The sequence below is a fragment of the Homo sapiens genome, chromosome 22 (genome assembly GCF_000001405.40).
Source record: "Homo sapiens chromosome 22, GRCh38.p14 Primary Assembly".
Classification (NCBI taxonomy): domain Eukaryota; kingdom Metazoa; phylum Chordata; class Mammalia; order Primates; family Hominidae; genus Homo; species Homo sapiens.
Window position 1 is genome coordinate 50,494,975 of NC_000022.11, and position 13,071 is coordinate 50,508,045.

Sequence of the window (13,071 nt, forward strand, 5' to 3'; positions counted from 1 at the left end):
GAAAATAGATAAGTTGGCCAGGCGCAGTGGCTCAGGCCTGTAATTCCAGCACTTTGGGAGGCCGAGGCTGGTGGATCACGAGGCCAAGAGATCAAGACCATCCTGGCCAACATGGTGAAACGCCATCTCTACTAAAAATACAAAAATTAGCTGGGCGTGGTGGCGCGTGTTTGTAGTCCCAGATACTAGGGAGGCTGAGGCAAGAGAATTGCTTAAACAAGGGAAGTGGAGGTTGCAGTGAGCCGAGATCACACCACTGTACTCCAGTCTGGCAACAGAGCGAGATTCCATCGCAAAAAAAAAGAAAGAAAGAAAGAAAAGTTTATTTTTCTAATTTTTCTTTTTCTTTCTTTTTTCTTTTCTTTTTCTTTTTTTTTTTCGAGACGGAGTTTCGCTCTTGTTGCCCAGGCTGGAGTGCAATGGCGTGATCTCAGCTCACTGCAACCTCTGCCTCCTGCGTTCAAGTGAATCTCCTGCCTCACCCTCCCCAGCAGCTGGGACTACAGGCGCCCGCCACCACGCCTGGCTAATTTTTTGTATTTTTAGTAGACACGGGCTTTCACCCTGTTAGCCAGGATGGTCTCGATCTCCTGACCTCGTGATCTGCCCGCCTCGGCCTCCCAAAGTGCTGGGATGACAGGCGTGAGCCACCGCGCCCGGCTGATTCCTCATTTTCAACCCAGTCTCTCTTGACCACTAAGCCAACTAGTTCCAGCTTTTTCTGAAGACAAGTCAGGTTGCCCTCCCAAACCTTCCCTCTTCATACAGGGGCCTTCTACCTGACCTCTGAGATTTCTCGCCCAGCACCTCAGCAAGGGCTTGTCTGATGCTGCTGTACTTTGTCTACCCCTCCAATCACAGGAGTCCGTAGTTCCTAGAAAATCTATTTTTGCTCCTGTCCCAATCCGCTGAATAAACTGTATACAAAATTCAGGTGTGGAATCTCATGTTGCTCCCTTTGGTCAAGTTACCTATTTTCCCAAGCCTGCATCTAAGCTTGATCCTTCTCCTGCTAAAAGCATCTTCGGCCGGGCGTGGTGGCTCATGCCTATAATCCCAGCACTTTGGGGGCCAAGGTGGGCAGATCATGAGGTCAAGAGATCGAGACCATCTTGGCCAACATGAGGAAACCCCGCCTCTATTAAAAATACAAAAATTGACCGGGCACGGTGGCTCGTGTCTGTAATCCTACCACTTTGGGAGGCTGAGGCGGGTGGATCACCTGAGGTCAGGAATTCGAAACCAGCCTGACCAACATGAAGAAACCCTGTCTCTACTAAAAATACAAAATTAGCCAGGCGTGGTGGCACATGCCTGTAATCCCAGCTACTCGGGAGGCTGAGGCAGAAGAATCACTTGAATCTGGGAGGTGGAGGTTGCGGTGAGCCAAGGTCGCGCCATTGCACTCCAGCCTGGGCAACAAGGCGAAACTCCATCCCAAAAACAAACAAACAAAATACAAAAATTAGCTGGGCATGGTGGTGTGCGCCTGTGGTCCCAGCTACTTAGGAGGCTGAGGCAGGAGAATTGCTTGAACCCGGGAGGTGGAGGTTGCAGTGAGCCGAGATTGCACAACTGTACTCCAGCCTGGGCAACAAGAGCGAAACTCCGTCCCCAAAACAAACAAACAAAATACAAAAATTAGCCGGGCGTGGTGGTGTGCGCCTGTGGTCCCAGCTACTCAGGAGGTTGAGGCAGGAGAATTGCTTGAACCCGGGAGGCGGAGGTTGCAGTGAGCCGAGATTGCACCACTGCACTCCAGCCTAGAGGACAGAGCGAGACTCTGTCTCAAAAAAACACAAAAAACAAAAACTTCCTGGCCAGGTGCAGTGGCTCACGCCTGTAATCCCAGCACTGTGGGAGGCCGAGGTGAGGGGATCATATGAGGTCAGGAGTTAGAGAACAGCCTGGCCAATATGGTGAAACCCCGTCTTTATTAAAAAAATAAATAAATAAATTAGCTGGGCATGGTGGCACGGCCTGTAATCCAAGCTACTCCAGAGGCTGAGGCAGGAGAATAGGTTGAACTCAGGAGACAGAGGTTGCAGTGAGCCAAGACTGCACCACTGCACTCCAGCCTGGGCGACAGAACAAGACTCCGTCTCAAAAAAAAAAAAAAAAAAAATCTTCCTGGGTATTCTCTCTGCCAGCTCTCTGCCCCAGCTTGTCCACGACCTTCTCCTCAATACACAAGTGTGCACCCCTGTCCAATCTCCCACTTAATTCACAGGACAGCTCTAGATCTCTGCTTACTTGCCAGACAGAGACAGTCAGACACCTGGACCGTGGCACCCACCTGTCCAACCTCGCCCAGCTCAGATCACCAACCTCATCGATTTCCTTGCAAAACTTTTGACTTCCGCCTTGGACTTTTGCCCCTTAAAATTTTATCTCTGCAGAGTTAGAATATGACATTGCTTTGTCGATACCATAATAATAAGGCTACAGTAAAGGGAGAGCTATTCCCTCCCAAATTACATTTTCTCTAGATTGGGCCACTCTTGCCATTTTAAACTTTCATTTATTTACTTATTTTTATTATTTTTTTTTGAGACAGCGTCTCGCTCTGTCACCCAGGCTGGAGTGCAGTGGTGCGATCTCGGCTCATTGCAACCTGCGCCTCTCAGGTTCAAGCGATTCTCCTGCCTCAGCCTCCTGAGTAGCTGGGATTACAGACATGTGCCACCATGCCTGGCTAATTGTTGTATTTTTAGTAGAGACAGGGTTTCACCACGTTGGCCAGGCTGGTCTCAAACTCCTGACTTCATGTGATCCACCCGCCTCAGCCTTCCAAAGTGCTGGGATTACAGGCATGAGCCACTGCGCCCAGCCTCATTTCTGGTCTCTGTTCCTGCTTTTCCTGCTCGGCGAGCCACACAGCTAGAATCATCTCACCAGCCAGGGCCTCTGCCCGTGGTTCTTGTGCAGCTCTGGAGAGCTGCTCTTCCCATCCAAAGGTCTTCGATCCCCTACAGTCCACAGTTCCCAGTTCTCCCCTCCACGTGCATGGAAGCAGGACACCCCAATCTCATCTCTTTTTTTGTTTCTTTTAAGAAACCAGGTCTTGCTCTGTTGCCATGCTGGGAGTGCAGGGGTGCAATTAGAGCTCACTGCAGCCTCGAACTCCTGGCTCAAGTGATCCTCCTGCCTCAGCCTCCTGAGTAGCTGGGACTACACGTTCAGGCCACCACATCTGGCTACATTTTAAATTTTTTTTTTTGTAGAGAGAAGCTCTTGCTATGTTGCCCAGGTGGTCTTGAACCCCTGGCCTCAAGTGATCCTTTTGTGGCTTCCCAAAGTGCTAGGATTACAGGAGTGACCGCTGTGCCTGGTCGTCTCACCTTCTTTTGACATGGAGCCCCAGCCTTGGGAGGCAGATGCTGAACCGTGTCCACAGTGCCCCCTTCTGGAAATTCTCCACAAGCCAAGGTTTTGGACAGCTCCAATGTCTGGGGCTATGGCATTTCAGGCGGGAAGTCTCTGCAGAGAGCAGTACCTGCCTTCATCCCTTCCTAGATATTAATTCACTTTCAGACACATACTGAGCAGCTAGTGTGAGCTGTTACGGTGCTGGCTCTGCAGACAGAGCTGCAGCGAAGACAGACGCCAACCCCACCCTCACACAGCCAATCCTGTGCTAGTTTTTTCTGTAGAACCACCACTGGGTTTCCAGTTGGTCTGGGTTATCTGGTGAACTCAGAGACTTTCGCTGTCTTCTGGACACTCCACAACAGTCCAATCACCTGCGGGGACCCTGACCTCTGCAAACCTCCGGGGGGTGGTTCCTTGGTTGGCCGCCCTCCTCTGACGGCTCCGCCTCCCTGCCGAGCCCTGGGATCGTCCTCCCTGGCTCCTGCCTTCTCTCTCATAGGATCTCATTTGTTCTGACACACTTATTCTCAAGCCCAGTAGTTACTCTTGAATATTGCTTATAGAGGTGTGTTTCCTTGAATATTCAAGCATATGTGTTATGTAATGGGTAATAATAAAGTAGGAATGTGCATATATGAATCAGCACAAAATAACTAAAAAAAATCCCATCTCCAAAGTCACTGACTATTGACAAATTCTGGACCTACTTCTCCGTTTGTTGTTTTTTTTTTTTTTTTTTTGAGACGGAGTCTCGCTTTGTCGCCCAGGCTGGAGTGCAGTGGCGTCTCGGCTCACTGCAAGCTCCACCTCCTGGGTTCACGCCATTCTCCTGCCTCAGCCTTCCAAGTAGCTGGGACTACAGGTGCCTGCCACCACGCCTGGCTAATTTTTTCTATTTTTTTTAGTAGAGATGGGGTTTCACCATGTCAGCCAGGATGGTCTCGATCTCCTGACCTCGTGATCCACCCGCCTCGGCCTCCCAAAGTGCTGGGATTACAGGTATGAGCCACCGCACCCGGCCTATTTTTATTTTTTCTTGAGACGGAGTCTTGCTCTGTTGCCCAGGCTGGAGTGGTGTGGCACGATCTTGGCTCATTGCAACCTTCGCCTCCCAGGTTCAAGCGATTTTCCTGCCTTAGCCTCCCGAGTAGCTAGGATTACAGGCACACACTACCATACCCGGCTAATTTTTTTGTACTTTTAGTAGAGACAGTGTCTTGCCACGTTGGCCAGGCTGGTGTTGAACTCCTGACCTCAGGTGATTTGCCCGCCTCGGCCTCCCAAAGTGGCGGGATTACAGGCGTGAGCCACCGCGCCTGGCCCAGATTCTCTTTTTATAAAATTATGATTGTATCACTTAACTATTTCTTCTCGACAGTTGTTATACACAAAGGCAGTAGCTCATTCCCCTAATGGATCCCTTACTTAGCTATCACCTCATAAACAGTTTCCAGCTAATGAGTGTAATATACACAGCAGCCACAAATGTCTCCATGCAAATTTTTTTTTTCTTTTTTAGACGGAGTTTCACTCCTGTTGCCCAGGCTGGAGTGCAATGGCACGATCTTGGCTCACCACAACCTCTGCCTCCTGGGTTCAAGCAATTCTCCTACCTCAGCCTCCTGAGTAGCTGGGATTACAGGCGCCTGCCACCACGCCCGGCTAATTTTTGTATTTTTAGTAGAAACACGGTCTCGCCATGTTGGCCAGGCTGGTCTTGAACTCCTGACTTTGGGAGATACACCCGCCTCGGCCTCCCAAAGTGCTGGGATTACAGGTGTGAGCCACCATGCCCGGCTTAAAAATTTATTTTTGACAAATGCAAGTGGTTTTATTCCTTTTTTTTTTTTTTTGCATTTTACTAGGAAACAGCCTGTGTGTGTTTCCTCCCGGTGCACAGCCTATATGGTTCTTTGACCAAATGGTGTCTTAGTCACTGCATCTGTTAGAGACTCAGCTTCTCATCAAATCAGTTCTATATAGGCTGGGCGTGGTGGCTCACACCTGTAATCCCAGCACTTTGGCAGGATGGTGGGGGGGGGGGGGGCGGTGGATCACTTGAGGTCAGGAGTTCAAGACCAGCCTGGCCAACATGGCGAACCCCGTTTCTACTAAAAATACAAAAATTAGCTGGGTGTGGTAGCGTGCACCTGTAATCCCACACAAAAGCTTGCATATCCAATGTTCACAGCAGCACTATTCACATAGGAAAGGCGGAAGCCACGCAAGCGTCTATCGATATACGAATGAATAAGGACAGGGAAAACGTGGCCCCTCCGTACACTGGACTGACTCAGCCCTAAAGGAACACAGCGCTCATACGTGCTATGACGTGGGTGTGGCCTTGAAAACACCGTGCTGAGTGAAAGAAGCCAGACACAAAGGTCCCATGTTACTGATCCAATTTACAGGAAATATCCAGAGTAGGTAAATCCACAGAGACAGAAGGTAGATGAATAGTTGCTTAGGGCTTGGCAGGGAGGGGTCAGAGGGCAAAGGCTAAAGGGTTTGGGGTTTCTTCTGGAGATGAAAGGTTCTAAAATGGCCTCCGGGCCAGGCGCCGTGGCTCATGCCTATAATCCCAGCACTTTGGGAGGCCGAAGTGGGCAGATCTCCTGAGGTCAGGAGTTCGAGACCAGCCTGGCCAACATAGTGAAAACCCATCTCTACTAATAAACTACAAAAATTAGCCCGGTGTGGTGGTGCACGCCTGTAATCCCAGCTACTTGCAAGGTTGAGGCAGGAGAATCGCTTGAACCCAGGAGGTGGAGGTTGCAGTGAGCCGAGATTGTGCCACTGCACTCCAGCCTGGGTGACAGAGTGAGACTCCATCTCTAAATAAGTAAATAAATGGACTCTGGTGATAGACGTGCAACTCTGTGAATAAACTGAAAGCCACTGAATTGCGCACTTGAACGGGTGAATTGTGTAGCACGTGGCTTACCAAGAGAGCTGCTACACAAAACAAAACACAGAACGCATTCATCAAGTGAGCTTGAAAGCTTAGGAACATCAGGCCGGGCGCGGTGGCTCACACCTGTAATCCCAGCACTTTGGGAGGCCGAGGCAGGCGGATCACGAGGTCAGGAGATCGAGACCATCCTGGCTAACATGGTGAAACCCCGTCTCTACTAAAAAAAAAATACAAAAAATTAGCCAGGTGTGGTGGCGGGCGCCTGTAGTCCCAGCTACTCAGAGAGGCTGAGGCAGGAGAATGGCGCGAACCCGGGAAGTGGAGCTTGCAGTGAGCCGAGATCCTGCCACTGCACTTCAGACTGGGTGACAGAGCGAGACTCCGTCTCAAAAAAAAAAAAACTCAGGAACATCAGCCTGGGCAACAAGGGGAGTGTGGGTGGTGATGGCAGCCTGAGGCAGGAGAATCATTTGAGCTCAGGAGTCTGAGACTGCAGTGAGCCACAACTGCACCACTGTGCTCCAGCCTGGGCAACAGAGTGAGACCCTGTCTAGAAAGCCAAGAAGCCTAGGAACAGGTTTTTTAGTTTTAAACATATTACTTTTTTTTTTTGAGATGGAGTCTCACTCTGTTGTCTAGGCTGAAGTGCAGTGGCATGATCTCGGCTCCCTGCAACCTCTGCCTCCCAGGTTCAAGCGATTTTCCTGCCTCAGCCTGTGGAGTAGCTGGCATTACAGGCACCCGACACCATGCCCAGCTAATTTTTGTATTTTTAGTAGAGATTGGGTTTCACCATGTTGGCCAGGCTGGTCTCGAACTCCTGACCTCAGGTGATCCACCCACCTCGGCCACTCAAAGTGCTGGGATTACAGCCATGAGCCACAGCGCCCAGCCTATTATTAAGCCAAGGCTGACTTCTCGATTGTTTATTCCATGTATAGGAGCCCCTTGAAGACATCTGAGAGTTCACGCCACAGGCTGTGTTTGAGCACAGGGCTCTGCCTGGGTGGGCCAGATGGAGGTCAGTGACATGAGGGAGCTGGGTACATTGGGAGCTGCCCAGGGGTCTGGCAGGAGACCAGGAGGCAGGGGCTGTACCAAGAGGACGGGCCAGAGGCAGAGGAAGCTGTGCTGTGAGTTTCCAGGGTGGGCAGTGACCTCTGATTGATAACCTGACCCCAAATGGAAACCTGGACGGTGCCCTGACTGCTGTCTCTGCTGCTGTTCTCTTCCCAGGATGGAGGCCAGGGGCATCAGATGCACCTTCCCTCCTCCGTCCCAACCCAGGGCCTCCAGCTACCCTCCCCCTGGCCTCACTCTGCAGAGGAGCCTCTTCTAACCTGCCCACCTCATCTCTCCTTCTCCCCTTGCCCACTCTGGCCCTTCCGTCCTTTCCTGAGGCCAAGAAGTGGGAGCAGGAGGGAAGTGAGGGACCGGCTCCACCACCGACCTTGGAGTGTGGAGCTGACAGGTCCACCGGGCTGTGCCAGGCCTGAGGCTCCTCTGTGATCAGGCAGTGGGCAACACCAAGCCAGGCCTCTTCAGAGAGAATGCTGAGGACGGGGCAGGAGGGTGCCCAGGGAGCCACGCCGTGGCGGAGCCTGACTGTGCTCTGGGCGGCCCACTGCCTGGGGCAGGGGAGACAATCCCATCCTCATGCCTCCTGGGAAAGCAGCACCAGGCACACAGCCAAGCACAAAAGACGCCTTTATTGGTGCCCAGATCTAAAGGGCAGGATGGGCTGGTGTGAAGATGACGTGGAAGATGACAGTGCTTCCCCTCTTCCCCTGGGAGTCAGCCTCTTCCCCTCTGGCACGGGGCCTAGGGTTGGGGGCTCTAGACTCAGACCCCCACAGCCCAGGGCAGGGGAAGGGTCTTGAGCTTGGTCGTGTTTTCCTCCTGGGCCAATCACAGAGGCAATAGTGGGAGTCCTGGGGAGGGGCATGGCTGGCGTGGGGGTGGGGCCTGGAGCCCTCAATGCAGCACCCTGCAAACCCCAGGGGCAGCCCCCCAACCTGTGCCTGGCCCTGCAGGGTCAGCTAAGGCACAGTGGCTGGGTCCTGTCCTGCCGGAGGCCAGAGCACTCCCGGCGACCTGGCCCTCTCAGGACGTGCAGCTGGGAGAACACAGCTACTTCTTTCGCCGGGTGGTCCTCGAACTACTGGAGCAGGGGTTGGGGGCTGCGGTGGCCTGTTCGGAGGCAGCTCCGGAGTCTTTCTGGGAGGCTGGCCTGCGCTTCTCCCCGCTGACTGGTGCCAGCGGGGAGGACCGGAGAGAACAGGGTGCTAGCAGGGCTTGCACAAATCTGACAGCCCCCACGGCCATGAGGAGCCCCCAGAGCAGGGCGGGGGCCTCCAGGGGAGACAGCTGAGAGCGAGTCCAGTGGAGGGCCTGGGCCAGGGTGCTGTTGGCGCTGCGGGTGCGAGGTGGGCTTTTCTCCTGTGGGAGGGAGGGAGGGAGGGAGGTTGGGGAAGTGCTTACTGGGTTTACCCCGGGAGGCTGGGGTCACCCCTGCCACCTCCCCCAGCCTGGCTGACACCCCCTTACCTGTAGTCCAAACTGCCTGAGCAGCGTCTCCAGCGTGGGGTCCCCCAGGGACACGGATGGGAAGAACTCCTCCACCCACTGGCGCCGCCACCACTGGCTGCAGCAGGACCCGATGTTCAGAAGCTGGAGGCACCCCGGGCTCCATACCCCATCGCCAGTGCCCAGCCTTACCCCTGCTCCTCAGCTCCTCACGCTCCACATCCCCCCCTGGTGCCCGGCCTTACCCCTGCACCCCGGGCTCCACACCCCACCCGGTGCCCGGCCTTACCCCTGCACCCCGGGCTCCACACCCCCCCCAGTGCCCGGCCTTACCCCTGCACCCCAGGCTCCACACCCCACCCCGGTGCCCGGCCTTACCCCTGCACCCCGGGCTCCACACCCCCCCCAGTGCCCGGCCTTACCCCTGCACCCCGGGCTCCACACCCCCCCCCGGTGCCCGGCCTTACCCCTGCACCCCGGGCTCCACACCCCCCGGTGCCCGGCCTTACCCCTGCACCCCGGGCTCCACACCCCACCCGGTGCCCAGCCTTACCCCTGCTCCCCAGGCTGGGAGAACCAGTACTTGTAGCGCTGGGCTCGGACGTAGGTGGGCGGCTGCTTGTGGAAGGGATACCTGGCCACTTGGCTCTGGACAAGGCGGATCACTGCAGCGAGAGGCATCAGCGTGGCCCCCACAGTACCCGCCCTGCCCCTCCCCTCCCCACCCCGCTCCACCCCAGCCCACTCCACACCCCCCAAGCCCGCTCCGCACCTGGCTCCTTGCCCTGCAGCAGGCGCAAGACCAGGCTTGTGAACCACGGGCTGTGCGTGTGTGGGCCCAGGGCTGCAAACCACATCTGCCAGTCCAGGCGTGGCTGGTGGGGCACCACAACCGGGGGCGGCCGGCTCAGGTTCCCAGGCTTGTACATGAACTCGATCTCCTGCCAGGCAGGCCGAGGTCAGCTGGGCCCGCTGACCTGGGCCCCACCACCCTGCCCGCCCTGGGAGGGCTCACCGTCCAGTGGTGGCCGTCGTAACTGCCCTCCAGCACCACCTCAGGCCGTCCACCAAGCCCAGTCATGCGGCGGAAGAGGCCGTAGGAGTTGGCCAGCTGTAGGTGCTCCACGGCACCAAACAGGCGGTGGGCCCCGGTCCAGAGGCGCCCGTGGGTCCCGGGCTCCACGTAGGAGTACGGCACCTGGAGACAGGTGGGAGGTTCTCAGGGCTGCCCTGCCCCCAGCCCATCCCCCAGCCCTGCAGCGCTACCCACCAGGCTAATCAGGAACAAGGCCACGGTCGCAGTGCCCACAAGGGACAGTTGGACTACAGCACTGAGCTTCCGTAGCCAGCCCCGCACCTGGGTCCACCTGTGGGCAAGGACCCAAGGTCGTCAGGCCGGCCCTGCACACCTGTGCCCCCTCCCTGCTTCCTGGGCCATGTACCTCCACAGGGCACTCAGCAGCTCCCAGACCAGGGAGGCCACACCCAGCCACACAGTGGGCAGCGTCAGTGTCTTCAGCCACTGAGAAAACTGGTGGAAGGTGAAAGCTGGTGGAGGAGGGGGGTGTGAGGACTGGTCCGCCCCTGCCCTCTGGCCCCCCCAGGTCGGCACTCACTGGTTCTGGAGTGGATGGTGCGCTGCTGCCAGTCAACCTCCAGGCCAAAGTAGTGCACAGTGCCATAGGCCAGAAGCCCGTAGACGGCTAGTTCCAGCAGCAGCGACAGGGTGGCCAGCAGGGCCTTGGGCCAGGCTGTGGGGCAGGACAGTCATGGGTCAGCAGAGGGTCCCCAGCCAGGGGGCTGGGGTGCAGCTAGAGTGGGAGTCCTGTGGGGGTGTTGGAGGGGAGAACCCCTGGGAGGGCAGGGGGCTGGACAAGTGACACGCACAGGTGGCCGTCTTCTTGCGGCTGCCGTGGCCAGGCTCAGCAGCCAGGTGCTGGTCGTCCAGCAGCGCAGTGGTAAGCACCAGCGTCATCAGGTTGAAGAAGTTGTAGTTGCCGGTGATGATAATCAGGACCTGCAGCAGCACCTGGGGGCGGCCCGCTCTCAGTGCTCCCGGAGACTGACGCCTGGCCCCGTGGCAGGCACCCACCTCCACCCTGCAGGGTGCATCCCTCTGCTACAAGGCCTTCCCAACAGCGGTTGCCAGCTGTCCCCGGGAGCCACGCTGTCCCCAACAGGGCACGCTGAGCAGCGCTGAAGGCCGAGCCCTGTCTGCCTCTCTCTGACAGCTGCGGCCCTCACCCACCTGCGAGTAGAAAGCAGCCAAGCGCAGGCGTCGAATGGGGGCGAAGAACAGGGGCGGCACAGCGATCTCAATTAGGAAGGTGGCCACCACGCTGAGCTTGTGCAGCCAGACCGGCAGGTGGTGTGCGAACCAGGCGGCGGGCGTGGGCAGGCACTGGGTCTCGTAGTGGTAGGTGAGGGCTGCAGGCGAGGGCAGGAGTCAGGGCTGGCCGAGCCCCCAGACTACCCCAGGTCCAGACCGGGCCCCTCACCAGTGAGCCCCCACCACGCAGGGCAGCGGCTGGTCAGCTTGACCACGCCTGAGGCGAACATGAGGCGGAACAGCAGCCATCGCACCAGCCAGAAGGGGAGGTCTTCGTGGGGCAGGGCCCCTGCCTGCCTGCCCTGGGGGGCCTCCTTGCGGTGGGAGGCTGGCCTCAGCGGGGCCACCAGCACGGCCAGGAAGCCAGTCTCTAGCAGCAGGGAGTCCCTATGGGGAGAGCAAATAGCACCAAGAGCCCCTCCCCACACAGCTGCTTCCCTCGGAAAGTCCTCCCAGGAAGGGCAGAGCCCTCCCCCACCCCCTACCCAGCCTCCCACAGCCCCAGGCCCAGCCGTCACTCACCACTGGAAATAAAGGAACACCTGGCCCACCTGCGGAGAGAGGGGCTGTCAGGGAGCGGGTGTGTCTGTGGACTCAGGTAAGGTAGAGGCAGGGGTGGGTGGTGGGGGTTGGAGATAGAGTGAGCTGGTCACAGGTCCCACTTGCCTGGCAGGCTGACAGGTAGGCGGCCCAAAGCAGCAAGTAGATGACAGGGTGGCGCAGTGGGCTCAGCAGCAGGGCTCCCAGGGCCACTAGTGCACCCAGCAGGCTCAGCAGCTCCAGGCCCTGGGCCGTGTCCAGCCCCAGTCTCGGCGCTTCCCACAGCAGCGTCGGGGTCTCCCACAGCTGCTGCCAGCGCCCCTTGCCCTGAGGCCGCAGCGTCCTCCTTGCAGGTAGGATGCCCTCGGGGCCATACAGGCCTGTGGGAGGGCATGTCATGGCCAGGCCCTGGACAGCCCTTGCAGACTAGACTACCTCTGAGTCAGGGCCTGCAGATCCCCCAGCCTAGGTCAGAGCATGCGGATACCTCCATCCCTAGGTCAGAGTCTGCAGTCCCTCCAGAGCCCGTCCCCCAGGTCGGGACCTGTCAAAACCCCGTCCCAGGGCTAGAGGCCTGCTCAACTACCTGAGTCAGGGCCTCCCACCCAGCAGAGCCCACTGCCCTCTTCCAGGTCTCAGCCCGATCTCCTACCTGTCCCACCAGGTCTGGGAGGAAGCCTCTCTCCCACCTCTCTCAGAGTTCTGTCCCCCACCCCAGGTCAGAGTCCAGAGCCTTACGGGAAATGGATCACCGCACACCTTCCTACCCCCACAGCGGCCTGCAGGACACGAACCGCCGCCCCCTACCCCACGCCAAGGCCTGGCCCTCACTCCCAACCCCGGACTGCGTGAGTGCCGGGCACAGAGAAAAGAGGACATAGGGTCCCGCGCCGAGGCTGGGGGTGTCCCACCCTGGGTGCCTTCACCTGGGATTTGCGTGTAGAGGGAAGCGAAAGCAAACATGAAGACGGCCGCCACGCCCTGGAGGAAGAGCTGCCGCGGGAGCCGGGAGCCCGCCATGTCCGCTACGCGGCCCGCTAGAGCAGGGCCCGCCCTCCGCGTCCGCCCGCCCGCGGCAGCCCCAGGCCCCGCCTCCTCACCGCCCCGCCCGCCCAATCCGTGGCAGCCCCAAGCCCCGCCTCCTCGGCCCGCCCGCCCGCCCGCGGCAGTCCCAGGCCCCGCCTCCTCACCGCCCCGCCCGCCCAACCCGTGGCAGCCCCAAGCCCCGCCTCCTCGGCCCGTCCGCCCGCCCGCGGCTGCCCCAGGCCCCGCCTCCTCACCGCCCCGCCCCCCCAACCCGTGGCAGCCCCCAAGCCCCGCCTCCTCGGCCCGCTCGCCCGCGGCAGCTCCAGGCCCCGCCCCACCCCGCCCCGCCCGACCCACGGCGGCC

The 13,071-nt window shown here is 58.0% G+C and overlaps 1 protein-coding gene across 5 annotated transcripts, besides 2 other annotated features; it reads right to left on the bottom strand.

The window, feature by feature from the left end:
• Positions 1-7,974: 7,974 nt before the first annotated feature.
• Positions 7,975-12,728, bottom strand: LMF2 (lipase maturation factor 2). Of its 5 annotated transcripts, none has more exons than NM_033200.3 (14): positions 12,608-12,728; positions 11,808-12,061; positions 11,664-11,692; positions 11,311-11,528; positions 11,061-11,239; positions 10,700-10,841; positions 10,429-10,563; positions 10,255-10,360; positions 10,083-10,179; positions 9,828-10,010; positions 9,585-9,753; positions 9,366-9,477; positions 8,834-8,930; positions 7,975-8,725 (listed from the first exon to the last, which is right to left on the bottom strand). In NM_033200.3, the coding sequence occupies exons 1-14, from the start codon at positions 12,699-12,701 to the stop codon at positions 8,417-8,419; spliced, it is 2,124 nt and encodes a 707-aa protein (NP_149977.2). In that variant the 5' UTR covers positions 12,702-12,728; the 3' UTR covers positions 7,975-8,416. The 5 variants fall into 5 exon arrangements, with proteins under 5 accessions (NP_149977.2, NP_001350745.1, XP_006724489.1 ...); NM_001363816.2 differs by having other exon boundaries at positions 11,808-12,130; XM_006724426.4 differs by having other exon boundaries at positions 11,396-11,528; positions 11,808-12,728.
• Positions 12,459-12,508: an enhancer, noted in NCBI's record as "active region_19321". NCBI's record gives its function as "activates an Ori minimal core promoter by ATAC-STARR-seq in GM12878 lymphoblastoid cells {active_cell/tissue: GM12878}" and the evidence as "EXISTENCE:reporter gene assay evidence [ECO:0000049][PMID:35858748]".
• Positions 12,729-12,828: a silencer, noted in NCBI's record as "silent region_13983". NCBI's record gives its function as "represses an Ori minimal core promoter by ATAC-STARR-seq in GM12878 lymphoblastoid cells {active_cell/tissue: GM12878}" and the evidence as "EXISTENCE:reporter gene assay evidence [ECO:0000049][PMID:35858748]".